Raw genomic sequence first — 27,896 nt, 5'->3', positions numbered from 1 at the left:
ACAGGCTTGTCAAGCCATTTGTCAAAATGAAGTAAAAACATTGCTTATCAAGTTACATTTCATTTGTTGGTAGATTTCCCTTGGTTGTGGCAAGAGCATGGTATGAGACTATCCTCCTCATCCATTACTAGAGGCAAAGTAAATGTATAAAATCCTTTGGCAAAGCGATTTGCCCATATATATCAAGAGCCGTGCAAGCATTCAGGCCCTTTGACCCAGCAAAATCTAGATCCGGGGATTTTAAAGAAATGGCAAAAATAGGAGAATGTGATATGTATGAAGACATGCACTTTGGGATTATCTGTGATAGTGAAAAATGGGAGTCCTTCTAAATATATAATACTAGGGAATGATATATCCACTTAAAAGAGTATTAAGCAGCCATTAAAATAATTATTAAAACATTTATTTTTAAATGATAATCATGAAAACCTGTGGCATTATAATGATAAACTGTCAGGTGTGAAAGCCGAATGAATGCGAGGCTGTAACTACACTCATAAATCAACTATGTAAATTTTGCCTGAAGTAAGAGGAACACTGAACAGTTCATTTGTTAGGGTGGTAGGATTATGGATAATTTTCTTTCCTTTTAATTTCCCTTATTGTTGTAACATTGCAAACTAAATAAAAATCTGGGAAAAAATACAATGAAGGCAACAGACAGGTACATTGTGTTGTATCCTTCGTAAATCCTTTCACTGAAGAACGGGATTAAATGTGGCTTACCATAGCAAATCATAAAATAAGACTCACATTTTGCATTTCCTCTAGACCCTCCTACCCTTCTGAGAATAAATTAAAATATAAACACCAGAGTTGAGTTTTTAAAATCCAGGATTATCTCATTATTCTATTTATAACATATAAGGAGAGAAAATACACTTTTTTCTTCTGGATTAAAAGTTTCCCTGGCCAAGTTCTGTATGTCTGTTCTTCCCTATTGGCAGGTCAAGGGTCCCCATTCCTACCACAGGAGTTTATCAACCTGTTGACTTTGCTCAGCTATCGCACAGATGGTGGTGAAATCATTAGATTGAAGGAAACCCAACAGTTCTTGCTTTGTGAAATGAGCATGCTATTTCTGGCCAGGCTACAAGCTCGGTCTGGTATCAGGATCTCCTGAGATGATGTGCAGGAAGGCACAGAAGTGCTTTGCAAATCCTCCAAAGCTGTGACCATCTGGATCTTTTTTCTTTAGGAGTCAATGTAACATAATGGAGGACTACAGGGATAGAGTGGACTTAGGGGAGTGGGGAGACGGGGCCTGGGTTTTAGGCAACCCGAAAGTGTTAGTGGTCAAACGATTTGTGTGGAAAATCAGACTGGCTTTCAAATTCCAGCTCTGCCATCTCCTAACTGTGTGATCCTGGGCAACTTCCCAGGTCTGAGCCTCAGATTTGAGGCTTCATCTGTGAAACCGGAGTACTAACAAAACCTGCTGCACAGGTTTGTTTTGAGGATGGAATATGATCATGTATGCAAAGCACAGTGCCCAGTGATGTCCAAGAGATGTCCCTTTTCTCATTAGTCTTGCCCCTCCCATGAACTCACTGTAGAACCTTTGGCAATTCTATTTCCTTCTCTGGGCCTTAGTGTCTCCATCTGCAAAATGGGAGAAGGGATGGACTCAGCTGTCTCCCACAGCCGTTTTAGCATATGGGCCTATGATTTCACAGTGGTTCTTGTAGCAATGTCCTTTTCTTTTCTTTTTCTTTTCCTTTTGCAGTTTTTATTTAAACAGAAATAAAATGGGCACATGGGCTGTCTATTCATTTTCTTTGCTGCATAGCCTTGCTTTGTGACTGGTGAGTCTGATGGCCAGCTGGGCTGCTCTTTCCACAATTGCTTTGTGGTTCTTGGAGGAAACATTGTAAGCGATCTCAGCACAGTAAGATTTGTTGCACCTCAGCAGCACTTCCAGCTCCTTGACGTTGTGGACCAGGAACTTCTGTAAGCTACTGGGCAGCATGTGCTTTGTCTTTTTGTTGCTCCCATAACCAATGTTGGACATCAAGAGCTGGCTCTTGAACCTTCTCTGAATCCTGTTGTCAATACCTCTAGGTGTCTGCCAGTTACACTTAATTTTGACATATCAGTCTGACTGCTGCCGGATGAATGTCTTGTTCCTCTTTTTGAAAATCTTGGGCTTCATGAGGGGTCTGAGGGCAGCCATGATGTGAGTAGGAGGTTGCTGCCACCTCCACAGGCAGCACCGAGGAAGAAAGGGCAATGTCCTTTTATTTTCTGAGACAGAGTCTCACTCTGTTGCCCAACCTGGAGTGCAGTGGTGCGATCTCGGTTCACCGCAACCTCTGCCTCCCGGATTCAAGCTGTTCTCCTGCCTCAGCCTCCCAGGTAGCTGGGATCACAGGCACAGGCCACCACGCCTGGCTAATTTTTGTATTTTTAGTAGAGATGGGATTTCACCATGTTGGCCAAGCTGGTCTCAAACTCCTGACCTCAAATGATCTGCCCACCTCAGCCTCCCAAAGTGCTGGGATTTCAGGCATGAGCCACCGTGCCGGGCAGCGAATGTCCTTTTAAAAATAGATTGTATGCGAATGTGTATCTCAATGGGACACAGCCAGGGGAATGGGGTTGCAGAAGTTTTCTATAAGATTAGGCTCTCAGCTCCATAATCCTGCCCTTGCTTTACTCCTGAATGTGCTTCCTCTAGTTAACATTCCAAAACCACCATCCCTTCCAAATGGGGTTATTCCAAAGACATCCAAAGACATAGAGGAGATGTTTTAATGCCCTTCAAAGTGGCACAGTGAGGGTTCCCGTGAAAAGATCTGTCTGAGCAGATCTCTTCCTCTGGAATTTCAGAGCAGATTTTTTTCACAGGATCCTTTGCTGTGCCACCTTGTTTGTTCTTTCCTGAGGGTGATGACTCCCAAAGAGCAGAACTTAGACCAGTGGCAAGAAGCTTTATGGAAGCTAATTTGTGCTCAGTGAGGGAAAGGACTGCCTAGAAGGCAAGGGGTTCATAAGCTCACTGTCCCTGGAGGTATTCAACCTTAGAATGGACCACTGTTCACTGGGATGCTATAGAGAGGCCAGCCTGGATACAGTTCATACAATTAAATAAGGCCCACTACCCAAAGTCCCTATGCTACTAATGAACTATTTACCAATTAATTATCACTTAATTAGCAATATAGATGATCCCAAACTTATGATGGTTTTACTTAGGACTTTTCCACTTTACAATGGTGTGAAAGCAGCATGTGTTGAGTGGAAATCATACTAAATTCTGAACTGTGCTCTTTTCCCTGGGTATCATACCAGAATATGCAGTAAGACACTCTCTCAATGCTGGGCAGCAGCAGGGAGCCTCAGATCTCAGTCAGCCCCATGATCACAGGGCTAAACTATTGACACTCTGTAATGTGTTGTGTGGCCAGATGATTTTGCCCTACTGTAGGCTAATGTAAGTATGCTGAGTATGTTTAAGGTAGGCTAGGCTAAGCTATGGTGTTCGGTAGGTGTATTAACAACATTTGTGACTTAAGGTATCTTCAGTTTACGGTGGGTTTATCAGGATGCAACCCCATTGTAAGTTGGGGCACTTTGTACATTAATTTTTTTTTTGAGACAGTGTCTCACTCTGTCACTGAGGCTGGAGTGCAGTGGTGCCATCACGGCTCACTGCAGCCTCAACCTCCCAGGCTCAAGTGATCCTGCCATCTTAGCCACCTGAGTAGCTGGGGCTACAGGCATGCATCACCACCCCTGGCTAATTTTTGTAATTTTTTCTAGAGACAGGGTTTTGCCATGTTATCCAGGCTGATCTCGAACTCAAGCGATCCACCCACCTTAGCCTCCCAACTGCTGGGATTACAGGAGTGAGCCATTGCGCCCTGCCTGTACATTAATTAATAAACTACTGGTTGCACCATCTTAAATGCTCTGGCCTATTCTAGTTTCTCTCTCAGAAGAATGCCCACTGGAAGGCTCCTGAGGGTGGGGGTTGGTGGAGAATCAGACTGAACACTTAGGACTTATCTTTCTGAGCCTTCTTTTCTACAGAGTGAAATTCTTTCTGCAATTTATAGGGTGTGTGTCTGTGTGCGTGTATGTGTGTGTGTATATACACTAGAGTTCACCTCATTAATGCATTATCGACTGCAATTTTGTCTCTTCATTTTTCCTTTAGGATCTGAGGGTATTTTTCTGCCTTTCAGCTGTGGCCAGCTGTGTTTTATCCCAGCAAGTCTAGATCTGACATTGTCTTTTCAGAATTTTAGCAGCAGTACCATGACAGCTGTTAACCTTATGGCTCTCAGATGTGCTTAAGGTGAATTTTTTGTTCTTTGCTTTCTCTCTTTCAGCGCTGGAAAAGGATACTTTAAAAACAAACACAATTTTTCAACCCATGAGTACTGTCGGCCTCTTCCTATACATACCTACATTCATACCTCCTGTCCAATGCTGGGCCATTGGCTCCTCTACCAAAGGAGAAATGCATTTAGGTTACCAAAAAAGGTTTTCTGCCGGGCACGGTGGCTCACACGTGTAGTCCCAGCACTTTGGGAGGCCGAGGCGGGTGGATCGCAAGGTCAGGGGTTTTAGACTAGCCTGGCCAGCAAGGTAAAACCCCATCTCTACTAAAAATACAAAAATTAGCCAGGCATGGTGGCAGGCGCCTGTAATCCCAGCTACTCTGGAGGCTGAGGCAGGAGAATCGCTTGAACCTGGGAGGCAGAGGTTGCAGCGAGTCGAGATCATGGCATTGCACTCCAGCCTGGGTGACAGAGCAAGACTCCGTCTCAAAAAAAAAAAAAAAAAAAAAAAAAAAAAAAAAGATTTTCTGTAAGCAGCATTGGGGAATTCCAAACCCATCCTAACAATACTTTGTGAAGCAAATCCCAGCTGTTATATCATTTGGTCCTCACAATTGCCATGAGAAATAGGTTGAGTGGGTGGCACTTATTCTGCCCATTTTATAGGTTAGCAAACTGAGGGGCACAGAGGTGACGTCATGCTTCTAGGATGTGGTGAAGTGAGAGCTAGAGTCATGGGCTGCAGAGGACCAGTTCAGGGAGGATTTTACCTTCACCACATTTATTCATTCATCAGACTCTCAAATGAGCATTTTTATGTGCAACTCCTGTGCTGTTTTTGGGGTTGCAAAGAGGGATCAGACACTGTCTCACTGCTTTCATGAGAGGAAGGGAAGAGGACAAGGAGCCATGACAGTGTGACAAAGGCATTCACATAAGTGTGGCACCCAGGGGGAGTCTGATATGCTCACTAGTGGAATAACCCTAGACAGAGTGCAGACAGAAAAGCCCACAAAAGCAGGCATAGTGACTCCTGCTCAGCCAGGGAGGCCAGCAAGAGAGTCTTGCAAATCTCCAAAGGAAGTTCGGATGTTCCCGTGAGTGTTACCTGGGAGTAGCAAACCCTGGGGTGTGTAAGTGGATCAGACCTTAAGATTGCTCTAGGCTGGGTGTGGTGGCTCATGCTTGTAATCCCAGCACTTTGGGAAGCCAAGGCAGGTGGATGGCTTAAGCCCAGGAGTTCGAGACCAGCTTGGACAACCTGGTGAAACCCTGTCTCTACAAAAAATACAAACATTAGCAGGGCATGGTGGCTCATGCCAGTAGTCCCAGGTATTCAGGAAACTGAGGCAGGACAATCACTTGAGCATGGGAGATCAAGGCTGCAGTAAGCCATGGTGGGACCACTGCACTCCAGCCTGGGTGACAGAGTGAGACCTTGTCTCAAAAAAAAAATAAGATTAATGCAGTCCTTGAGGACTCTTGTTTCCTCAACTGGTCTCAATTTCATCACCAGGGAATTCTCTCTATTCTCCTGCCTTGCCAGTTCTTAAATAAGCCAAGCATTTTCTCCCTCCGAGCCATTGCTCATCATATTGAACTGTTGGTCTGTAGCATCCTTTTCCCTTTCTTTTCCAACTCACTCTTCCAGATCAAATGCTGCCTCCTTTAAGAAATCTTCATAGATTTCCTTAGCAGGAAGGGAGGACTCCACTTTTGTTTTCCTAATTGTATATAATTAAAAGCCTGGGCCAGGTGCAGTGGGTCATGCCTATAATCCCAGCACTTTGGGAGGCCAAGGTGGGCGGATCACTTGAGGCCAGGAGTTGGAGACCAGCTTGGCCAACATGGTGAAACCCTGTCTCTACTAAAAATACAAAAATTAGCCAAGTGTGGTGGTGTGTGCCTGAAATCCCAGCTGCTTGGGAGGCTGAGGTACAAGAATCACTTGAACCTGGGAGTCAGAGGTTTCAGTGAGCTGAGATCGTGCCACTGCACTCCAGCCTGGGGGACAGAACAAGATAGTCTCAAAAAAAAAAAAAAAAAAAAAAAAAAGCCGGATCAAGTTCTTCTGTGGATTAAAGGCTTATTTCTTCAGTGTGGCTTCGAGCAACTTGAGGCAGGAGGCTCTCATCTCCCTCCAGGACTAAGCACAAGGCTGTCTTTGCTGAATAGAATTGAATTAAAATGAGAGGAAGGGGGCACATCCATTACCAAAGTCAGACTTTTTTTGGTCCTTTTGGGGCAAATCAGGAATGGTTTGTCAATATGGCTGCTGATACTTTGGGGATCTGGATGTTGCCAGCCTCACAAATTCTCGTTCAGGGTGTTTAGACAGGTGTAGACCTGGTGAGTGGGGCAGGGGTCAGTGAATCACAGTGGCTTAGTGCTTGCTCTGAAAAAGCTTTTAAGCCAGTGTTTCTCAATGGATGGTCCAGGTACTTCCTGCACCCTACTCACCTGGGGAAGTTACTAGACGTTCAGGTTCCAAGCTCGGTCTCATAGCACTAAACCAAGCTCTCTGGGGCTGGGGCCCAGGGATCTGCATGTGATTCTTCTCACACTGAAGTGTAGAAGCTACTGTTATAAGGGAACAGAATGACTTACTTCCAGAAGAGCTGGTGCCCAAAGGAGAAGTCCTGCCCATGGGAGCCAGGAGACTAGGAGGAGTGGTGAGAACTGGACACAGACACTTCATCTCCAACCCATAAGGTAACAGGAAGGGTGAGCTCAGGGCTACGTGGCCTGAGCAGAGAATGGTGGCCACCAGCTGCGGCTCTGGGGGGGGTCTTTACAGCCTGAGAGGATTTGGTAAAGTTCATGAGGAGCATTCCAGGCTGAGGGTGGTTGGTTTGCTTTTCCAGACTGAGGTTGTTGAGGGAACTTTGTGCAAACTTCCCAGGGGAGAAGGTTAAAAAAAAAAAATCCAAAAAACTGATGGAGAGTAAGCTTTGCTATGTTTCTCTCCTTTGGTCCTAGGGCCTTTCTCTTATTTCTTCCCTTTGGCCTGTGGGTCCATTTACTCCATATGGTAAGGAGAGAATATGTCTTAGCTGCTGCTCTGGCCATCTTCATGAGGTACAGCAGGGGCCTGCCCACTCTAGCCATCTTCCTTCCTTTGTCCCGTTCCTCAAACCATTGTGAATTCCTTCCCTCAGAAGCATTTGCCATTCCTACATTGTTCCCAAACCCTTGGGCAGCTCTTTTTTCAGTATTTTGCTTGTATGTTGATATCCAGTAGCCTCTTCTGCAAAGTGCAGATCTTAGTTATGCCATCTGCTCCTTATTTATCTAGCAAAGTCCTACTTACCCTTCAACACTCATCTCAGGTCACCCTCTAGAGATGTCCCCTCCAGCCTCCCCCTTTCCAGAGTCTGGCTTCAGTACCTGGCACAGTTCTCCCAGATCTCTCTTGCTTGCACACATCTTCACTCTCTTACCATCTAAGTCGAGGCCTGTTTCCCTTCTGGACGGGGCCTGGTGCCCATTGTACTGTGGCTCCTAACCCAGGGCTGTGCACCCCTTTCCAGGGTGGCTTCGAGGATCAAAGGATGTTGTGTGAGGCTTGCTGAAGGCATCTCTGCAAATGTTCTTGCCCTCCTCCCTGGCTCTCATGACAGGGGAGGGTACTGAGCTGACTCCTTAGGCCGAGGGGGCAGGGAACACCAGTGACTCAGGCTTTCTGACGGGGTTTGGAGAAAGAGTGGAAGTCTATTCACTTGGGGTGTGTGTTCCTTCAGGACCAAGGAGCATGACCCCACCCCTTGCCACCCTCTCCCCTCCACGCCAGCTGGGATTCAGCTTCAGCCTGGGTGGCCAGAAGGGGCAGAGTTTTCCTTTGGGTCTTGGAAGCTGCCCCAGGTGGTACCCCCAGGCACCCAGCCTACACAGAAGACCTCAGAGGAAATGGAGGGGCCAAACGCTCGCTAAACGGGCTTTGGTGAAAGGAGCCAAGACAAAACCCAGCTCTGAGCTTAATTAAAAAGAGTGCGTAGTCCCTCCCCCAACAAATGCAGATTGCCCACAAAGAAGAACAGGAACCCAGTGGCCAGGAAGACCCGCAGCCTTATAAACAAGCACTTTGGGCTATGTAGGGCAGCTCTGCTATGATCTGATACAATGACTATTGTCAAGGAGGGCTGTTTTTCCATGTTTTTGTATCCTTTTCTTCATTTTCTTTTGCTACCTAATTTCATGCATCAGAGGTCAAAAGACAAAAGGTCAGGCCTGGTTTAGAGGCAGCAAACTCCCCACCACCAAGAACGTGTGTCCAAAAGAGCGCTTTGAGGCACCGCCTGCAGACACTGGCAGGTTTTCATCCCTGATTCTCTTTTGTCACTTCATGGGGTACATGAGTCTACGTGCAAATTGCATGAGAAATGAGACACCAACTGCTGTACCAAATTAGGAAAAAATTCACTAAACTGTTTCCATCTCATACTTTGTTTATAAGAATTTGTACCTAACAAGGAAAAGCCCATCTTTGAACTCTCAGCCTGCCTATGGTAGAGAACTTTACACACACACGCGCATGTATATGTAAATATATACATACATAAAATATATATACATATACACACATATATCCTGTAAAAATAAAATCTGAGTACATATTTCTTAATTGTTTTGCTGGGAAGATTTATAAAGATCTGTCCAGAAAATTGCCAATACTTGTTCTAAAGATTGTTTTAGTTGAAAGGATAGCAGCATTTCAGTATGAACAATTTAGCATGATTATTTTGGTACGTATTTCGTATGAATATTTTGTCCTCAGACTGCAAATCTTTCCAATGTATCATTTTGGATTCTTAGGTAATAGTAGATTGACGGAGTTTCCTTATGTGATAGGTCCACACTATGTGTTTATAACGAGGATACAATGTCATGATTTTCCATTAGAAATATTTTCATGATTTAGGGGGATAATGACTTTCTGATTCTATGTCCATAAGCTCCTCATATTAGATATTTCAGATGGTTTTCATCTGACCGAAAATAAATTAGGGGATATCTTTAATTTTTCTTTGTGTAGAGGATTTTTTTTTTTTTGGTAGATTTGCATTCAGTGCCAGAAGGCCCCCACCTCCAGTACAAAGTGAAGGAAAAGTTAAGGCTTTGGGAAGTGTCTCTGGTGATGGCTAAACACTGAGACTGGCTTCAGGGCTCATCTCAAAGGCACTTTGGCCCAAGTGTAGCTCATCTTTTCCATCTTACTCTGGGCTGGGTTGCTAAAGATAGTTAATCAGCAGCAAACCTGAAAGATTTTTAGAGCACAGTTTTATTTCCGGCACGTTCTCAAATCCAGACTTCATATCCTGTAGCCCCCTGACCTTCCCAAAAGACTTCCCTCCCAAAAGAAAAAATAAAAATCAGCCCACAACCTGCCCTGAGGCTGAGGTATTCACTTGGCGATTTGCAGGTTCACAAGGCAGGCTCCAGGGAAAGCACCCCAATCCTGGGGTGATCCTCTGCCACGGCTCTGAAGTTATTACAGAAAAATGGAGAATGAAGAAACGAGAATATTAAAGGGCTTACTTAAAGGCGCGCTTCACTTCCGTTTAACACTCTGATCTGCGTCCAAAACTAAAAGAATCGTTTAGCTTGTGCACTCACCCTCACTCAAAATCGCTTGTGCAGTAGGCTTTTTTATGTTCCAGTACTTCATGGAATCAAATTATATCACATTAAAATGTTATTAGTTTAAAACACATTAAATAAATGTAAGTCTGGGCCGACGCATGAATATTTAAAGCTCACATTACACGGTGAACTAGAAGAAAAGGGGGTGAGGAGAGCCAACAGAACATCGTATAAATACTGATAGAAATAAAGCATCCTATGTGCAAACTTTCTTTAGCAAAATATGGTTTTATTACTTACACTTATTATGGTATTGTTAAATTTGAAAAGAAATATAAAGAGAAATGAACTGATTTACGCTTGTTTTCAATATTAAACAACCAGAATGCCAGTAAATCTTTTCAATGCCCCATTTTGGATTCTTAGGTGAGAGTGGATTGCTGGGACGTGTTGGCAAATTTTAAATACAACTGATTGCCTGTTTTCCATATTCATATATTGCGAATGTAACTCCAGGAGAGTGAATTTTATCTCAAAATTCTCCAAGAGTTGCCTTCAAATAGCGTCTCTGTGCATATGCATACGGCATACACTTGACGTCTACCATGTGTACCTGTGCGCTGGAAACTAGTCGTGGAACTGAATTGAATTAGTGGATTTGAGTTGAAATGAACCCATCCAAACGACCCCAGGTCTGCGCTCTTTGAGGCTTCTCTCAGTAACATTTCTAATGAAAGCAAGAAAAGCAGTAAAGTAAAACAACAATAGTAATAACCCACCATGAGCACCAGGTTACCCGAACACAGACCCATTGCGTATTCTAGCGCAACCCAAGTATTTCCGGGTGGCGAGTCGCTGGCACATGGTGCCCCAGTGAGCCCGCACCCGGAGCTCGAAGCCCTGTAGGCGCAGAGGACCCCACTGCCAACTGAAATGGGTGTTTTGACCCAAACCAATCCTCAGCTCCTTTTTGCCCCGGGCGCCGCCTGAAACCCCGAGGCGACGGCTGGCCCGCGATGTGCACTTTTTGCGCTCTGCGCTGGGGGAGTTGCAGGTGGAGAGGCGCCCCCATCCATCCCGGCACCGCCCCTAGGGAAGCCCCAAGTTTATACCGCAAGGGACCAACTCGCCGCGACTCGGCGTCCACCCTCAATGCTGACACAGTTCAGGCCCGGCAAACGAAGCAGGGCGGGGCTGGGCATTAGGGGCGCCGCCTGCCGAAGATGCGGTACCACGTGCGCGCTGTACGGACCCCGAATCCTGTGAGTCCAGCTCCGGCCACAGGCTTTCGAAGAACTGGGCCCTCGGCTTTAGGGCGGGGCCTCTTCTTTGCCTCCTGCCTGGATGTCGACTCCCACCCACGCTCTGCGCTAGCTCCGGGGCCGAGCCCCAGTGCCAGAGTCGTTCCCTGAGGCTTCTCCCAGGGCTCGCACAGAGGGAGGCCCAGTGGCGGACGGCGATGGCCCAGCCTTTGCTGGATTCCGGGCTAGGGGTCTGGGGAAGAGGGGCATCGGGCCGGAAATGAGCCCCAGTTCGGGCTCCACGAGCCCTGGAGCCCCCAACGATGTTTCCTGGCTGAGTTAAAGAGCCCGACCTTGGCCCCTCGCCTGGCGATGTCGGCCTCCCCCTCCCTTGCCCGCAGCGTCTTAGCTGGAGGGCAGCTCGCAGCGTGCCTAGGCCAACCCCTTCTGCGTCTCTTTTCTTTTCCTGTCACTCTCTGTTCTCGGCTTCTGCTTTCTCCTTCTCACAGAATGCCAGAGCGCCCAGGGGCCTGGAGGAGCTTCCGCACCAGCCCCTTTTCTGGGCCTCCAATTTGCCTTCCCCACAGTCTAGTCTCCCCCCGTTCCATATTTCTTTCTGTTTAGACTCTGCTCGTATTTCCTCGCCGATTGAGCCAGCATGTGTCTCTGCCTCTAAATCTTCTCCCTCGTGTAACATTAAACAAACCAAGGTGTGTTGAGCTGGAGAAGTCCTGGCAACGTGGACAGAAGGAATGGCTTATTCTGTCCTGGGGACATTTCCGGTCACTACAGTTCGGTTTCCCCTTGAGGCGGCGCCAGCTCCGGTTCCGCCCCGCAGGCCGCTGCTACGGAGGCGCCCGCTCGCTGTCTCGCTCTCTGGCGGTGTCTGCGTGTGTTCGGGTGTGGGCACATGTATCTGTGCTTGCAAACCAGGGCGGGCTCTCCAAACCGAAAGCTGCGCGGAGTTGGGTTTCTGGGATTCTAGGGCTGCGGGCAAGGGAGATGGGGGATTTTCCCGGGATCCCGACTCCGATCTGAGCCTAGACTCCCCGCGTTCTGGCCCCTTGTCCCGTATCTCTAGGGCCGCAGTGTCAATTCCGTGTCCTCCGAAGTGGTTCGTCACCTGCTCCGCCGAGGGGAGCCGCCCCTTGGGCCAACGCTGCGGGAGTCCGGACGGTCCGAAGCATGCTGGCCAGGCGCAAGGGGAGACCGACTCACAGGGGAGAGGGTGGGCAAGGGGACGGCGGCTGGGCCTCGGTACCCCGCGAGGGGGGCTCTGCGATTCTGACCCAGCAGCGGCGCCTCCGGGCCCGCGAGGTTTTGACGACCAGCGGGCGCCCCCTCGGGAACCACATTTGTTTCCCGCTGGTCTCGAGCGTCCAGAGCGCGAAGCGGCGGAGCACGGCGAACCTACGATTCGTGATGCTTGGCCTAATCCTCTGCCCTTCATGGGTGCGGGCAGGAACGGAGTAGCGGCTGATGTCCCCTCCCTAATCCCAAAGCCCCACAAAAGCCAAAATACACACGCAAACTCTCACCAGCGCATCTCACAAACACAAAAACTAAAGACAACACATGAAAATATAACCCGATCCCCCACCAAAACGTACAGTTCAAAAAAATAAAATTCAAATCGAAGGAAACAAAACACACACAACACGAAATTCCCTAAGGCAACACACACACAGACGACACCCACTCACACCAAATCAAAACACATCTAAACACCGCGGAGAAGGAAAAGCCTTACAAACGACACACAAAAAGACAGCCTACAAGGACAAAGTACAAAATTACACAAAATCAAAACTCACCCCAAAGACCAGGACTTACAGAGCAAAACCCGCTAAAATCAATCCCACGAAAAAACAACACGCAAAACACCCGAAACAAAAGAATATCCCATGGAAAAATGAAAACTCACAGAAAACAAACAAAAACAAAACAAGCCCTCTAAATGGAAACAACAACAACAACAAAACACCAACACCCCCCGCCCCCAGCCCGGGGTGAAATGTCAATTCCGGGAGGGCTTTTGATCTCCAGGCGCGGACAGGCCGCTCCTCCCAGGCGCTGCCTCCCGGCGCGGGCGAGGCGGGAGGGCGGGAAGCCTGGGCTGGGGCTGGGCTGCGGAGGGAAAGAGTCGAGCACTCGGAGATGGCCAAAAATCAAATCTCGGGGTAGGGACACGGGCCCGCAGGCTGCAGGGAGGAGGCGGCGCTGGGGAACTGCGCAGACCACTTGGTGGGGGGGCCGCCCGGGAATCCACAGCCACATTTCCGATTGTGGCGAAATCTGCTCAGTGGATATGTGATGTCCAGTTGCCGCCGGGGGCCCCCCTTTCCTCGAGCTCTAGGCTCTTCCCCCTAGGTTGCGACCCAGCCTCGTGACCACCCCCTCCAAAAAACAAACAACACTCTTGCTGAGGACGATTCACTCTCCAAAACTGCCATTGTCCGGCGGGCCAGGAGTCCTCCTACGGAGCGCTCCCCCGCCCTGGAGAACCTTTCCCCTGCGACCACCCCGCTGCAGGGCCCCACAGGCTTTCAGTGGCTAGGCCCAGCAGCTGAACTAACTCAAGGCTGGGGAGGGGAACAGGGAGGGGAGGCTTGAGTCTGGCCCGAAGAGAGAGGGCTGGACATGCCACACCTCTGCTCGGTCTCTGTGGATCTGATTTCCTCTCTGGAATCAAGTCCTGGGGCTCTGGGACTCCACAACGTCTCAGGGCTCGAGGGCAATGCGATTCCACTTATGGGCCGGGGTAAGGTGTCTGGAACTCCCGCCAATCTCCAGAAACTACTGAGATGTTCTGCTCTGCCCGGGTGCTCCAAAGCGGAAGCCCGGATTTCATCTCCAGTATTTCACAGCTTAACCTCCATGCTCTGGGCCAGAATGGAACTTGATGTGGGGAGGGGTTCTGGGACTAGAAGACTGGATGGGACCTGGGGGCTTTAGGGATCTGGCGCTGCCCTAGGGTCAGGGGCCCAGCAATAGTCAGGACCCCAACAAATTGGGGTGGGGGTTGGATGGCTGGGAACCCTGGGGTCGGGCGCCGCCCTAGGGGTGAATCGGAGTAAACCGGAACGTCGCCTCGGTGCCTGGCAACACTGCCAGCCTTTGCAACCCCTTTCAAAAGCACCTGCTTGGCCGAGCAGTTAATTTCTTCAAAAACAAAAACCCGGCCTGCGCTCGTCTAAGCAGCGGGGTTTGCACATGGAGATGTCACAGGCCCCGCGCACAGCGCAGAGGGCCGCGACCCCCAAGCGCATGTCTTAATAGAAGGTGCGGCTGGAAGACCCGGGCTCCCGGGCTCCGCTTCGGTCTGCCCCTTCCCGTAGGTGCGCTGGCTAGCGCCCGGCGCAGGCTGAAGCCTTCCTTCCCTCCCCCCAACCCCTATAAAAGTCTGGGGCGGCGCGGCAGCAGCACTGCTGCTCTCCCGGCTTCCCGCTCTACTCCGGCCGGGCCGGGTCCGCCACGTCTGGCGCGCTGAGCAGGCCCGGCCGCGCAGCGCCTACCCTTTCCTCGCTCCGGGCCGGCAGTGTGGGGCGGCGCGCTGGGGGCGCGGCGTGTCTGGGGACATCTTGTGATGTTGGCGAGAACAGGACATGATCTCACATGGCGAGAAGCTCTTTAGTTCCTTAATCATTTCACGGTGCCTTCGGACGCTTTTTTTCCACCTAAAACGTTTAGTTTCAGCTCAGTGATCAGCTACCCCAGCTCGGCGGGGGAGCGGAAGGCTTGAATTATTCCGACCTGTGAGCGGCCCCTGGCACCAAAAAAAAAAAAAAAAAAAAAAAAAAAAGAAAAAAAAAGGCACAAAAAAGTGGAAACTTTTCCCTGTCCATTCCATCAAGTCCTGAAAAATCAAAATGGATTTAGAGAAAAATTATCCGACTCCTCGGACCAGCAGGACAGGTAGGACCGCGATACGGGCTCCAGATGTGCAAACTCCGGGACACGGCCAGGCCTTGGTCCCCACGCAGGGTGACCCTGGAGGAGGAGGGGGCGCGCCGCATTTTCGTAGAGACTGTCTAACTGCGGCGTGTTTGTTATGTTTTTTCACCTATCTGTTCACACACTTCTGCATCAGTCCAAATATCTGTGAGTTTGTCTGTGTTTTTCTCTGTTTCTGAATGTTCACGCTGGCGTCCTTCCGGGGGTCTGCAAGTTAGGGCCTGTGTGTTTATATAAGGGACTCAGTGTGTTCATTACAGTATATGTATTTTTAAAAGATGTAAAAATATATGAGTTTGTGTCCAAAAGTTGTTTGCCTGTGTGTGTGTGTGTGTGTGTGTGTGTGTATCTTTATACTCGTGGGGTATTCGTGTGTGTTTATAAGTTAGTACTTGTGTATATTCTTTTGGGTATCCAAAATGTGTGTCTACTATGAGTGTTATTTATGTAATTCGGAAATATCTGAGTGTACATCCACTATTTAAAGGGTCTGCATTCACCTGTTATATCCCAAGTGATTTTTGGATGTGAGAAAGAAGTGGCTACACTGACCTTTCCATTTTTGGATGTCAACGGCTGTCCGATGCATACACGCCAATGTTCACATTGTGTCTCTAGGCAAACTCCTAGACGTGGGTCTGGGGCCTATGGAGATCCGTGGTGTTTAGCATGTGCATTGTAAGGCCCAGTGTCCATTCTATTGGGAGATAGGACCAGGAATGAAGGTGTGAATTCAGGGCATGCAGCCTCTTGGTGTGCAGTGAGCACTGTTCAGGCTACCATTTGTACAAACAGGTCTCCTGTGGCAGGCACAACCTTGCAGATGACAGCGGACACCTGTAGGGTTAGTTGTGACATTTCTAGGGACCCCCAGCCTACATTCACTTTCACCTAGACAAGCCTCTGACACTGGCGTGTGTATTTGTGTGTACACACAGACACACACACACTGTGTCCTCAGGTTTTATCCTGTGGGTGCCGCACCAGTGGAGGAGAGCACAGTGGGTGGATGCATGTGCATAGTCTGGGCATTCAGCTCTAGGGCCTGTATGCGCACAGGCCTCCCTGGCTTAGGTCCCCATGTGCCTCCCACAGGCCTGAGAAGTAGGTAGCAGGATGTGTTTATGTCTGAGAGGAGATAGCAGGGACAGTAGGCCTCCATCTGCCCTGAGGCATGAATCAGGTATGGGGGGCCTCTTTCACTCACTAGGCCACTGTGTAACTCCCACACAAACACTCTCTTGGCCCTGGCAAGAAGCCCCCTTCCCCCATCTCTGTGCCCTCTGAGAACCCCCATCTCTCCTCCAGCCTCAAATACAAGCCTAAGAGCAAAAAGGATAAACTTAGACCCCAAGCCCAGGACAACTTCTGGGGCATAACTGTGTTTCCAAAATTGTGGCTGGAGAGAAGTGAGGGCAGAGATCTGAGGCAGAAGAGTGCTCCCAGGATGAGGGCTCAGGAAAAGTTACCTGGAAACTCCTCTTCTCCATCCTCAATTCTCAGAAGGCCCTTCTCCCTGGCAGTGGGCTTCTCAGCAGATGGACTTTCAGAGAGACCTGAGCCTGGAAGTGGGTGTTGTGTATGTGTGGGGAATGAGGCGGGGATGTGTGAGTGTCATGGAGAGGGTCTGCGCAGTCCTCGGGCTGGCTCTCCCGACAAGCTGTGTAGAAGAATGTAATTCATGGCGGTCGATGGGCTCTTTGATTAGTTCAATTGCCTGAATAATCATTTAATCAATAAAGCATTTTATTCCTCTGCATAGCTGGACTGGGTGGGGCTTGGGGTGGGGTGAGATACGGGAGCCCTAGGCTGGCCAAGCCTTAAAATCTAGAGAGCCACGCCCCCTCCTCACTGATGGGTTGGGGAAGAGCTGCCTGCCTGGAAAAGGGCGACAGTTCAAGTGAGACTGCACTTCCATCTGTCCACTCCAGCCTGGGTCAGGGCTGGAGAAGAGAGGGAAGCTGAGAAGCTGTCCAAGCTGGTGCTCAAAGGGTTGTCCAGGTCTGGTTCCTATGAGAGCTTCTTCCTTCTCCCAACTTCTGGGTATTTCATGGGCCAATAGACTTCCTTTTTCTTCCTTCAGAACCATATTCCATTTCTTACCCCAACCTCAGTTTCCCTATCTGCCCAATGGGGAGGGAGTGTGTCCTTCTGGCTCTAAGCCCAAAATAAGGTCAGGTCAACACTAAGCAGGGAGCCACTTAAGGACCTTCTCCTCTAATGTCTTCCTTGCTGTAGGGAAAGGAAACTCAGAGGTTCGGAGAGGGGAAGGGACTTGTTCGAGATCATAAAGCATGAGTAAGGGAGGGAATAGGAATGGAAGGTGACCTCTCTGCCCTTAGACCTCCTGTTCCTGCTGGGAGAAGAGACAGATTCCCCCCTCTCTCCATGGACCCCCTTGGAGAAAAACTACTACTTGGACAAGTAGTAGTCTCTCCTTGCCATGGGAACCCTTGAGTCCTTAGATCCGGGCAGACCTGGATGGATTGAGTACTTTCCCACTGGGCATTGACATCCAGTCTCACAGTTCTGGAATGAGCCTGGAATGGAGTGATAGATATTAATAACCCCCATCCATGAAGCTTCATCTCACAGAGCCTAAGAAGTCACATCTCAGGATTTGTTCTCTGTATTAAACAAACGGGGAAGCAGAGGCTTTAGAAGGGGCTGCCTGTCTCAAGTCTTTGGGAGAGAGAGTAGTCCCAGCGCCCCTGGCCTGCAGGACATGCTGGTAATGATAACACACCCCGACTAAGGTGATTTTACATGATTCTTGAAAAACCTGGTTAAATTCTCATTTTTTCTCCATCCTCTTCAAGAACTCCTGAAAACAGGGACAGGTCAAGTAGAGCAGACTCCTGATCCAGGGGCAGGAATCATGCAGGAATCTGCTGTGCCTCCACTTGCTGTATAATTTCAGGTCAATTTCTTTCCCTCTGATACTTAATTTTTTTTATTTTTTAAAAATGAAGTTTAGACAGAACTCAGTGGGTTGAGACAGCCATGCTGGCAGCATCCCTGATCTTTCCAGAACTGAGCAACCAGTCTGAGCCCTATTGGGCCTCACTTTGTCAGAAGCAAGAACAGGGAAATGGGCTGGACTTGGGTTGAGAGAGTCGATGTCAGGCTACTAGAACACTGTAGCAGCCCCCACATCCTGAAGCCACGGTAATGCAGTGCGCTGGGAGGCGTGGAAAGGGAAGCCGGGAGGGGGTGTGTCCCCAGTGAAACGAGGTCTCTGGCTTCTCACACATTATTCTCAATGGGCTGTCTTTCAGTACTAAAACTTTCAAAGGCAATTCGGTTCACATAAATTGAGTTTCTTCCTGGATAGTTTCCTTTCGCGGTCTCCTGCCCCCAGCGCCTAGCACAGGGCCCGGCCCAAAGCCCTGTTACTGGGAGAAAGAAAGCGCATCACTGTAGATCAGAGTGAGGCCCGACTGCGTTGAGAGCCGCGGTGAGAGCTGCTAGTCTCGCTCTCCTGGACCCAGGCTGCGGCTCGTGGGCGTTCAGAGACAGGACTGAGGCGCAGTAGCCCGGCTCCACCATGGACTTGCTGTGCAGCCTCGAGCTAGTCACGTAACCTCTCTGGGCTGTCGTTTGGTGACCTGTAAGGCTGGGCTAGGTGGTCACGGTATGAGGTCCGGTCGCGCCTTTTGGGGTTGGAACTTCCCAGAGGCCGCCCGCTCGGGCGGTGATGAATCACCCCTATCCAGAGGGAAACTCCTTCCCCCAAGAACGCCGAGAGTTGCGGGAAGGGGCTGCTCTGGGTGCACAGGTAAGACGGGTCCTGTGTGTGCCACGCAGCAGAACACTGTCCCGAAGCCGAACACCTACTGTGTGAAAGGGAGAATCGGCGCTACTCCTGCTCGGGCCGTGCCCCGGGGATTCTATGCAAGCCTCACGGGTATCCGAAGGAAAACCTGCGTGTGCGGGCATATTCCAGCCGAGTTCTTCGATTTGGCAGCATCGCCCCTCCCCCACCATCCCGAGAGCGGCTCTGGAGAGGCGCTTTTGAGAAAGGTTTCCAGCCCGCAGCCTTTCTTCTACCCCAGACTTGCTGTGTGACTTTGGACAAGTCGTATCCTGCCTCTGGGCCTCGGGTTCTGCACCCGTGAAATGGAGAAAGCATAGCTTCGAGGCCCTTTTAGCTCTAAGAATCTAGAGAACCTGGGTTTGTAGGCCTGAGCTCAGCAAGAGAGGCTGGGGGTGGGGGTGTCACTGGCTGCATCCCTCAGGGCGTCCCGCACTCCCGCCTCTCCAGTAGGTGTGCAAGCCGCCATGTTGAGTCTGGGCCGAGGATCTGAATTCTGGTTATTTCCGACCCACTGGGCGCCATCGGGTGAAGCCAGTGCAGGAAGTCTATTCCATCCCAGTCCCTCTCTGCTGTTGCGATCTTCCTGCTCCAAGGCCGGGGGTGAAAGGGGAAGATCCGGACAGGCGGGGTTCCAGACAAAGAAGAGATAACGCCGCCACTCCACCCCGGCGCGCACTGCAGCCTCCTGGGTCCCCAGAGTCCCGCCTGGGGCCGTTTTCCGCAGCTGTGCCCTGGTGGGGGGTGGGGACGGGTGTCAGCGCCGGAAACTTGTCTACTGGTCAGGGACAGCTGGGTGTGGAACAGGGACAGAAGGTGGGCCCAAGAGTCGACCCCAGTGTAGGAGTTTGAGAAGTAGAGCATGCGTAGAGAGAAGGCAGAGGAAGGGAAACCGAGGCAGAGAATAAAACAAGAGGATAACCCAGGAATCCTCTCATGATCAGCCTGTACTCTTCCTTACAAGCCCAGTCCTGGAGCAGGCATCTCAAAGCCCTTGTTTTGTGGATTTATGTTTAATATTAGCGGATCATCACTCATGAAATAGAAATTGAGTCTTCGGACCACTCCCATGAGTTGCTGGGGCAAGGGAATCCTCAGCGTCGTTCTTGAGCCAGGGCCCAGATGGCTCACAGAACTATAGCTTCTTGGGTGAAGAATGACTGTCACACGCTTCCTTTTCAAGGTCCAGTTTCTTTGATTGTTGTCTCAGAGCCTTAAAACCCACAAAGAAGCGGACTCGCTAGTCAAAGATCCCTTGTGTAGCAAGAGAGTTCTGCTACAAATCCATCCATTTTGTCTACATAGGGACAGGAACTTCCCCTGTAGAGGGAAGGTCAGTTTCCCATCAACTGGAAGCTGCCGCATTGCAGCGCGCCTGGCCGCTTTGCTTGACCCTTGCAGATAGAATGCGCCTGTCCACCCGCCCGCTTCAGGGACCCTTATTAGCCCTGGACGCGACTTGGCTCATTCGGTTCTCAAGAAGCCTTGAGCCGGGTGCGGAATTTCTCCGGTGGACAGAAGCGCAACACCAGCTCCCAAAGCCTCTGGCAGTTCCTGATCTGAGGCAGGAAAGAGGGCCAGCCACTCTGCTTGGGCAACCTGGCCCAAAGCCTTAGCCCCTCCACCCAGGTGCGCCCTGGTGCGCCCCAGTTACTAACTTTAAAGGAGTGTGAGATATTCTCCCCCTTCCCCCAACGTCTCTGCCTTTCGTTAATGCAGCAATGAGGGCCCTGCAGGTGGAGTGAGGGAGGAGGGTGGACGACGAGGAGCCAGTGGTGGTTTAGTAGGTACTTGATAAAATTAGGAAATAAAATTAGGAAATATTTCCGTGGAAGGAGCCTTCAGTAAAATCTAGTTAACCCCACTCTGCCCATTTTACAGAAGAGGAAAGTGAGGTCAGAACTGGCAGATATGCACACACTCCGATGCACACAATCCGATCCCATCACGAGCCTGATGGTACAGGATCCCTACTGCGCTCCTTGTCTTCCTCCAACATACATTTTTTGTTTTTTGGTTTTTTTGGAGACTTCCCCCATTCTCACCCTTCAATCGACTGCTCTCAAGCCTTGAGAGCGTCCCAGGATCCCAGCATCGCTGTGGGGAGGTCCAGCCCGCGTGGGACCCGCAGCGGGACTCTCCAGGCACTGCGTGGGCCCCTTTCCCCTCCCCACAGCCGCGATCCACTAGGCCTTAGTCCAGCGCGTTTGTCAATGAACGTGGCGCCGCCGCCTGGGCCCCGCCCCCCATTCTCTCCCATTGCCCAGGTGTCCGCTAATCAGGCGGAGCCTGTGGGCTGCTTAGCCAATGGGGCGGTGTTTCGGGCCAGGGCCGGCTGACGCCACTCTGATTGGCTTGGTGGAGCGTGATTGGCAGGTTAGCCCCCGCCCCGCCCCCGCCCGGAGGGAGCTGAGCCCCGGGCGGCGCTGTCCACACGCAGCGGGTCCTGAAAGCGGCTCCGGGGCGGCGCGGTGGCGCACTGTGCGCGCCGAGCAGGCGGAGGGCTAGCGACGGCGGCGGCGGCGGCAACGCAGGCAGTCAGAGCCGACTGCGGCTCCATCTCAGCCCCGGCAGCCCCGGCGGCCTTGGTGGCTGGGACCCTCTGCTCTCTCCTCTGTTCCTCACTCCACGCCTGGGGCAGGCACGGCGGCCGTCCCGGAAGAGGCAGCGGAAAGACAGTGGAATCAGACCCACGAGGGAGGGCGGCGGGGCTCGAAGAGTTGGTTGGCACGAGGTAGACACCCCGGCGAGGAAGAGTCCGTCGCTGGTGTCCCCGTTCCTGGTCCCAGCGATGGGCGAGCAGCGGGGGCCGCGGGAACTTTGAAGGCAGCGGGTCTCAGTGTTGGAGGGCTGCACGCTCCCGGGGACTCCGGAGTCGCGGCCCCAGCGTCAGGGGCGGAAGCATCTCCAAACCCGCCAGGACCCCGCGCTGCCGGAGAGGAAGTTCTTTGCAACTTCGTCCGAGACGTCGGAGAGCCAGTTGGAGAGAGGCGGAGGGGGCAAGTCCGAGCCCCAGAGACTCGGAGAAGCAGAGAAAGAAAGGATCTGGCGGAGACCGAGGGGTCGAGGAGGGACCTCAGAAGCATCGAGGCCGCGGAACCAGCCTGGCAGCCCCCGGGTCTCTCCGCCCCCTGAGTGAAGTCAAGGGCCGATTGTTCCGGCGGCCTCCTCAAAGCTGCTCCTTCCTGGGGCCGGGGGCTGCTGGCTGTCCCGGAGGCGGGCCCCTACGCTATGCCCCCGAAGCCGCGGGCGCCTTGGCCGCAGCTACCCCGGGCTGGGCCCGGAGCTGCTGCTTGAGCCAGCCAGGGAGGGAAGCCAGCCGGAGTTGGGCACCCGCTCCTAGCCCGGGTGCGCTAGCACCATTTCCCGCCTCTCCGCGCAGCTCCGGGCGGTCTCCAGCAGGGAGGCTCTGAGAGAGACCCCGAAGCTCCAGCAGTGTTTTCTGAGCCCAGCTCGCACAGTGCCTGGCCTGGTGGCGAGGCTCCCTATCCGCCCTGGGCAGCCCCTTGGCGCCGGGAGGCGGCGGCGTGGGCCGGCCTGCAGTCTGGAGCGCCCCGATGGAAATACACTGTAAGCACGACCCGTTTGCATCCATGCATAGTAAGTAGGCGGCGAGCTCGCTTCTCTCACTCTCCCGCCGGGACCGGGTTGGGGGTGCCGGACCGTGGGTCAGGTACTAAGGCCGGAAGGATCTCGGACCTCTGCAGCCGCGCAGCTAACTTTGCAAAGTGCAGGGATCCCAGGCAGGGGACCTGAAACAACGCACTTGGCCGCCCGGGCTGAGGCACCTGGGAATCCCGCCTCCGGCAACGCGTAGCTTGGGCAGCGAGCTGCAGCCTTTCAAGGCTCCGGCGGCGACATTTCAGCTCTTTCGGAGAACCCTGGCTTGGACCCGTAGAGGGCTCCGGGCCAGGCCAGTTGGAGGGCAGTAAGTTGTAGGGAGAGGCCAGTCAGAGTCTCAGACAGCGCCCCACACCCCTACTCCGATGGCGCCTTTTTCAGCCATGGGGCTGATCCAGACTGGCGCTTGGAGGGATAGTGGGGCCCTGACCCGTGTCTGTATGTGTGGAGGAAGAGGTTGAGAGCTAAGCGAGGACACCGGGGCTAGGGCTCCAAAGGCGTCCTGGAGTTGAGGAGGGGGCTTTGAAAAATCAAGGAAGTAGCGGTTTCTGAGTTCAGCTTCTGCTTAGGAGCCGGCCAGTTCATACAGAGACCCTTAAAGACCCCATTGGGTCCTTCTCTGCAGGACGCCTTTTCTCATGGCTTCTCCCCTTTAAAAAAAGAGGATAAGAAACGAAAAAGAAAGAAAGAAAGAGGAAGCCAATTAGTTACCACGCAGGCACCCCCGCCTCTGAAAGACGCAGCGTGTGTAGGAGACGGGAAGGGTCATTTAGGGCGAGGGCAAGGCCGGCCTGGCTGCCTGGCCCGCAGGGATCCTGCCAATTCACCCATTACCACAGCCTCCTGTGAGATGAGCGCTCCTCTCACGGTGAGTTAACGCCGGATTAGATTCGGAGATTTCAAGGAAATTCCAAGTGGAACGAATCGCGTTTCCTTTCTGTTTGCTGCAGAGCCAGGCTGGAGGAAGGTGACAGGCTTCGGCAGCCTCGGCTCGGGTGCCGCTCGGGGTCTCTGCGGGCTTCAGGTCAGGGAGTTGCTCCCGGGCTAGGAGCCGTCCCCATGCCTGGTCCTCCCACCCCGCTCCCCCCCATCCCAACAGCCTGGGATCCAGCTTTCCTAGCCGCAGGTCCCCTATTTAACAAAGGCAGCAGAGACCCGGCTGGAGTGAAGGTGAGCTTCCCGGGGCGAGCATGTCCGTGTCTGCCACGCAGTGCTGAGTGGCCTGGCAAGCAGGGGAAAGCTTGTGTAGGCAGCCAGGGCTGGCTGCGGGCAGGTCAGTTTCTCTTTGTGTCAATTTTCTGAGTCTGAAGTAATCCACCAAAGCGGTGGGGAGCTCTGTGCAGAGGAGCCCCCTGTTCTGGTCCCAGCCCAAACGATTCCTCAAGGTTTGGGGCCTGCGCCCAACCGGTTTCCAGTCTGTGGTGACCCCAGTGCCCTCCACAGCCTTTTCTGCCTCGGACTCCAGCCTGGCTCTGGGGAGGACCTGATCTTGCAATGTAAGCCCAAAACAAACCAGTTAGGGCAATGCTCTGAGAGGTGAGCAAGCCCTTGGCTCAGCCAAGGAGCAACTGTGGGGACAGATGGGGAGCACCAGCCCCTGCACTTCTCTCCTCACTGGTGGAAATCCACAGGCCCTCACTGTGTCCTTCCGCCCAGCGCTCGGTGGCCCAGAGGTTGTGCCCTAGCCCTTGGGGAGATAGCATCAGACCTGGTGGTCTCTCGGCTGAGCATCAGTGTGGAGAAGGCGGCTTCTTTCAGGTGCAGGTTAGCCAACCGCTAATGTCTGTGCCTCCTTGTCCGGCCTTCAATCGCCCCCTCCGTGGGAAGTGCTCCCTCCCATTTTCAATCTCCCTGGCAGCACAGTGGGGGCTGGGCCCCAGCCAGTCTAGCTTCCAGAGCAGGTGCAAGACCTTGGCTTCTCTGGAAGCACTCTCGGTTCTGAGGCCCAAAGCTGTTTTCTTGCACAATGTAGGCCTGCTCTGGGGCCCCAACTTGCTAGCAATGGGGAGTGGGGGGTACAGTAGATCCTGGAAGGTGGCTGAGGTAGTAGAGGCTCAGATCAAGTCCCACTTCGTCACCTTCCTCCTGGCCCAGTCAGTTTCTTCTTCCTGTTACCGCTCCCTGCCTCCGTCCCCCTACCACTGCTTCCCCCCACCACTGCTTCAGAGCCGGATAGCTTCTTTGGAGAGGAGCAGGGACTTCCAGGAAATGGGCTTCTGAGTTTGGAGGAGTCCCCACCCACTATTCCAGGCTCATCATTTTCATCAGCACGATAACCTCCTGCTCTCTTCCTGAGCGGTTCCCCTAGGTATCTTTACCAGTTATAAAACACTCATAGCCAGGGTCCTACCTGACGGTGGCCTAAACCTTCAGCTTCACCCATTTTGCAGAATATGATATTGAGGTCAGAGAGACAAAAGGACTGACTCAAGAAGTTCACATTGGCACAGCTGGAGCTGGTTCTTGGGTCTCCCTGACCATCTGACAAAGGCATTAAAATGAAGCTTCAGAGGGTTCACAGAAGGGGAGAGGGAGGGACTCAGATTCCAGAGAGAGGGCAGTGGGTATACACATATGCAAAGCTCTCTCTCTGTCTAGTCTAACCATGTATATGTCTACTGCCTGACTCTCCACATGTATCAATACCATTAGGGAGACTTCTTCCCTGCCCTTTCCCTGTGCCCCTGTTTGCCTGTCTGTGTACCCCTTCATTCTTTCTGGTGCATCTAGGAAAAATTTTAATGATCTTGTGGGGGTCCTGGAGCTCAATCTGTGGCTGAGTCAGCAAAGTCCCTTTCCCCAAAATCCTATGCTCAGCCATGGTCTTTGGGGGTATTGGGAGGGCCTGTGGTGGGTAGCATGACCTTATCAGGGCCTGAGGAGCATCTGTGGAGGCCAGCCCTTTCCATACCAGAGTCACAAAGGCCTCAGGGGCCTCTGCAATTCAGTCTTTCTCTCCTCACTCCCCTCCAAACACTGCCCAGTCTGCCCTGTCCTGTGGTCTGTCTTTTTCTTGTATCTGTGGGTCTGTTTCCTGGTCTTCACCTGATTTGTTTGCCTCTGTCTCTGTGTCAGTCCCCCTTTCACGGGATGAGTCCTCACCTAACTGGAGTCCATAGGAAGTACAGGCTGGGACTTGGGTTCTCCAAGAAGATGCAGGGCCAGAGCTGGCACCCCAGAAAACAAAGGTCCTCTGTCTAGAGAAGTCCCCTGTCCTCCAGAAGCCCCTTCCTGGGCTTCCTCCATTTTCTCTTCTTATTGCCTCCCGTTGTGTGCCACCTTCGTCTTTCTTTTCTTGGCCTATTCTAGCTTCTCCATTCCTTTTCCCTCTCCTCTGCCTGCCTAACCTGCTGCTTCCTTTCCAGGCTCTCTCTCTCCTGGTTGTCTGTCTCATTCAGTTCCCACTCTTTACACTTCTCTTAACACACCTCTTTTTTCCTCTTTTCTTTCCCTGTCCTGCCTCGCCTCATTCAGACTTTGGACTTCACTTCTTACCAATTCCAGAGTAAGTGACCTTCCTCACACCATAGTTGTAAACCTTCTCACCACCACCCTCTAAGAGCTCTATTGGGTAGGATTGTGATGGTGGAGAAGGCCAAGGGGTCTTGGGGACCTTTCAAGGAAGTTGAGGAAGGTAACAGGCTCCCAGGTCACCCCAAGTCTGTTGTCAGCTGTGGACCTATAGATGAGATTGTGAAAGAGCATTACTATCTCAGCCTATGTGGTCAAGGGTAGAGGGTTTGGGGACCTGCTCTCACCTTGAGAGACCTGGCTCTAGGAGACCTTTAGGGTTTTCCCATGATACAAAACAGCCCCCAGTGCTCATAAATGTCCTGCAGGACTGCTTTTGGAATTTAAGTCCTCTGAAGGTTGCCACTGTGTTTTGGGCAGAAAGTCTCAATTGTCAGTGACATAGAGAACAGGCTATTGCAGATGGACCATAATACCTGGACTCCCAGGTCATATCAAAAGTGTGCTGGGTGTTTAAGCTTCCTTTGCCTGCCCTTTGTTTTCCCAGATGAGCTTATACCAATTTTGAATTTATTTTCTTTTACTTAAATCCAGCCTGCTCTTGAAAGATCTGTACAACCTTTTTAAATAGGTGTTCCCAGCCCCAGAACAAAGCCTTCTGAAGGCTCTTGGCCAGGGTGGCTGCAGTCTTTCTGTTTTAGAAAAACTATGCAATTATGTTTCTAACTGCAAAATCCTATTTGGAATGGTTTTCCTTTTTCTTATGTCTTTTAGAACAATCAAAACTGAATAAAGATCATTTTGAAAATCAGAAATCCAGCTTAGAACTGCAACTAAGTACTTCAGTTATCTATAAAATTGTGTTTTTCCTTGAAATAAGCCTGAGCCTGGACGTTTTTGGGAAATATTCATGGGAAACTTGAGTGGATTGCTTGGACAGTTTTTAGGAAATACATTATATTATGGGGGTTTTTGCTCCCTTTATTTCAGATGAGGTTCATGAACCTGGGTTGTAGTTTAGTACTGGGGAGAAATAGCTGAGATGAGGTGGCTATTTCATATTTTAGAGTTGAGTATATATGTGTGTGAGACCTTTGAGGTCTTTCCCTTGTACGGTCCAGTCCTAGTCCAGTCTTGGTTCAGGAGGAGTTTCCCCTTCCTTTGCCTCTGAGCTGCCAGCAACATCAATAAATGCTTTGACTTGGCTTTGGGCTCCAGTCTTCAGCAACGTCAGTGAGTGACTAATTAACAGCTATAAGGTCAATGATGTTGCTGCATCGGATCACTCTGTGTTTACTGGTTTGGCTCTTCATTTACTTGAGTCCTTGTGTCCTTCCAGATGGACCTTGATGTAAGAGAAGGGTGGAGGAGGCACTTTCTCGGGCTCCTTTTACTTAAAATCTATCCCAGGACCCTTGTAAAACCTGGGATCCAGAGGCTTTTGTAGGTTTCTTTATTTTCCCTGGACCAAAATAAAGCTATATGTCAATTGCAAAACATTGTAAAAATTCCAGGGAAACTCCTTTATAACAAATCCCCGTGCAGTGGAGTGGAATGTGCTGTGTGTAGAAGATGCTATGACCCATTTCTTTTGTGTGCTTTGAGAAGGTACAGTGGTCAAGTCTGCATGTCAACCTCACCTTCTTAAAGGGAGGGTTTTAAACAAGGCAATGGTTGTTTTTTTTTCTCAGTACTCTGCAGGTGCTGTTAAATTTTTAAAAAATTCCTTAGCCCTTGAATTAGATTGCTGATTAAAAACAAAATTCCCTGAGATATAAGTTTATTGGAGTTGTTCTTTTCACTTTTAAAGACATTTGTTAAAAGGAAACGAGTTTTATTTTTTTCCTCTTTAAATATGATGTATTTTAATGCATATTTTCTCCCCAGGATCTTCCTTAGACCTCAGCATCACATAATAAGTTGTGC

The 27,896-nt window shown here is 51.0% G+C and overlaps 1 protein-coding gene, 1 long non-coding RNA gene and 1 pseudogene across 14 annotated transcripts in view, besides 16 other annotated features; 1 reads left to right on the top strand and 2 right to left on the bottom strand.

The window, feature by feature from the left end:
- Positions 1,726-2,230, bottom strand: RPL32P21 (ribosomal protein L32 pseudogene 21; annotated as a pseudogene).
- Positions 10,432-11,009: an enhancer, noted in NCBI's record as "H3K27ac-H3K4me1 hESC enhancer chr9:37037999-37038576 (GRCh37/hg19 assembly coordinates)". NCBI's record gives its function as "activates a minimal SCP1, AML or CMV promoter by ChIP-STARR-seq in naive H9 embryonic stem cells {active_cell/tissue: H9 hESC(naive)}" and the evidence as "EXISTENCE:reporter gene assay evidence [ECO:0000049][PMID:30033119]".
- Positions 11,508-11,587: an enhancer, noted in NCBI's record as "active region_28376". NCBI's record gives its function as "activates an Ori minimal core promoter by ATAC-STARR-seq in GM12878 lymphoblastoid cells {active_cell/tissue: GM12878}" and the evidence as "EXISTENCE:reporter gene assay evidence [ECO:0000049][PMID:35858748]".
- Positions 12,588-12,637: an enhancer, noted in NCBI's record as "active region_28375". NCBI's record gives its function as "activates an Ori minimal core promoter by ATAC-STARR-seq in GM12878 lymphoblastoid cells {active_cell/tissue: GM12878}" and the evidence as "EXISTENCE:reporter gene assay evidence [ECO:0000049][PMID:35858748]".
- Positions 13,171-13,330: a silencer, noted in NCBI's record as "silent region_19902". NCBI's record gives its function as "represses an Ori minimal core promoter by ATAC-STARR-seq in GM12878 lymphoblastoid cells {active_cell/tissue: GM12878}" and the evidence as "EXISTENCE:reporter gene assay evidence [ECO:0000049][PMID:35858748]".
- Positions 14,031-14,080: an enhancer, noted in NCBI's record as "active region_28374". NCBI's record gives its function as "activates an Ori minimal core promoter by ATAC-STARR-seq in GM12878 lymphoblastoid cells {active_cell/tissue: GM12878}" and the evidence as "EXISTENCE:reporter gene assay evidence [ECO:0000049][PMID:35858748]".
- Positions 14,159-14,597: a promoter, noted in NCBI's record as "-374 to +67; region inferred as core active promoter". NCBI's record gives the evidence for it as "EXISTENCE:reporter gene assay evidence [ECO:0000049][PMID:11223243]".
- Positions 14,159-14,977: a biological region, named in NCBI's record as "PAX5 promoter region". NCBI's record gives its function as "regulatory_interactions: LOC108254684 | PAX5".
- Positions 14,411-14,590: a silencer, noted in NCBI's record as "silent region_19901". NCBI's record gives its function as "represses an Ori minimal core promoter by ATAC-STARR-seq in GM12878 lymphoblastoid cells {active_cell/tissue: GM12878}" and the evidence as "EXISTENCE:reporter gene assay evidence [ECO:0000049][PMID:35858748]".
- The window catches only part of PAX5 (paired box 5), a 201,000-nt gene continuing 187,846 nt past the window's right edge, over positions 14,743-27,896 (top strand). For all 13 annotated transcript variants that reach the window (NR_103999.2, NR_104000.2, NM_001280551.2 and 10 more), the window contains exon 1: positions 14,743-15,025. Coding sequence is in view for 9 of the 13 variants with exons in the window: in NM_001280555.2 (NP_001267484.1) it covers positions 14,980-15,025 (46 nt within the window). In the remaining 4 variants the exon portion in view is untranslated. The remainder of the gene's footprint in view (positions 15,026-27,896) is intronic.
- Positions 14,857-14,977: a silencer, noted in NCBI's record as "+326 to +451". NCBI's record gives its function as "orientation-independent negative regulation of transcription when located downstream of promoter" and the evidence as "EXISTENCE:reporter gene assay evidence [ECO:0000049][PMID:11223243]".
- LOC105376031 (uncharacterized) lies at positions 17,678-21,066 on the bottom strand. Its single transcript, XR_929590.3, has 2 exons — positions 20,924-21,066; positions 17,678-20,091 (listed from the first exon to the last, which is right to left on the bottom strand). It is a non-coding gene; the product is annotated as an uncharacterized LOC105376031 (long non-coding RNA).
- Positions 19,064-19,543: an enhancer, noted in NCBI's record as "active region_28373". NCBI's record gives its function as "activates an Ori minimal core promoter by ATAC-STARR-seq in GM12878 lymphoblastoid cells {active_cell/tissue: GM12878}" and the evidence as "EXISTENCE:reporter gene assay evidence [ECO:0000049][PMID:35858748]".
- Positions 19,568-20,242: an enhancer, noted in NCBI's record as "H3K4me1 hESC enhancer chr9:37028766-37029440 (GRCh37/hg19 assembly coordinates)". NCBI's record gives its function as "activates a minimal SCP1, AML or CMV promoter by ChIP-STARR-seq in primed H9 embryonic stem cells {active_cell/tissue: H9 hESC(primed)}" and the evidence as "EXISTENCE:reporter gene assay evidence [ECO:0000049][PMID:30033119]".
- Positions 19,814-19,993: an enhancer, noted in NCBI's record as "active region_28372". NCBI's record gives its function as "activates an Ori minimal core promoter by ATAC-STARR-seq in GM12878 lymphoblastoid cells {active_cell/tissue: GM12878}" and the evidence as "EXISTENCE:reporter gene assay evidence [ECO:0000049][PMID:35858748]".
- Positions 21,014-21,473: a silencer, noted in NCBI's record as "silent region_19900". NCBI's record gives its function as "represses an Ori minimal core promoter by ATAC-STARR-seq in GM12878 lymphoblastoid cells {active_cell/tissue: GM12878}" and the evidence as "EXISTENCE:reporter gene assay evidence [ECO:0000049][PMID:35858748]".
- Positions 21,045-21,339: an enhancer, noted in NCBI's record as "tiled region #11996; HepG2 Activating DNase unmatched - State 4:PromP, and K562 Activating DNase matched - State 4:PromP". NCBI's record gives its function as "activates a minimal TATA promoter and a strong SV40 promoter by Sharpr-MPRA in HepG2 and K562 cells {active_cell/tissue: HepG2 | K562}" and the evidence as "EXISTENCE:reporter gene assay evidence [ECO:0000049][PMID:27701403]".
- Positions 23,954-24,223: an enhancer, noted in NCBI's record as "active region_28371". NCBI's record gives its function as "activates an Ori minimal core promoter by ATAC-STARR-seq in GM12878 lymphoblastoid cells {active_cell/tissue: GM12878}" and the evidence as "EXISTENCE:reporter gene assay evidence [ECO:0000049][PMID:35858748]".
- Positions 26,174-26,223: a silencer, noted in NCBI's record as "silent region_19899". NCBI's record gives its function as "represses an Ori minimal core promoter by ATAC-STARR-seq in GM12878 lymphoblastoid cells {active_cell/tissue: GM12878}" and the evidence as "EXISTENCE:reporter gene assay evidence [ECO:0000049][PMID:35858748]".

Source organism: Homo sapiens, chromosome 9, assembly GCF_000001405.40.
Source record: "Homo sapiens chromosome 9, GRCh38.p14 Primary Assembly".
Lineage (NCBI taxonomy): Eukaryota > Metazoa > Chordata > Mammalia > Primates > Hominidae > Homo > Homo sapiens.
Note: the sequence above shows the minus strand (reverse complement) of the source record. Positions and strands in the feature narration are given on the sequence as shown.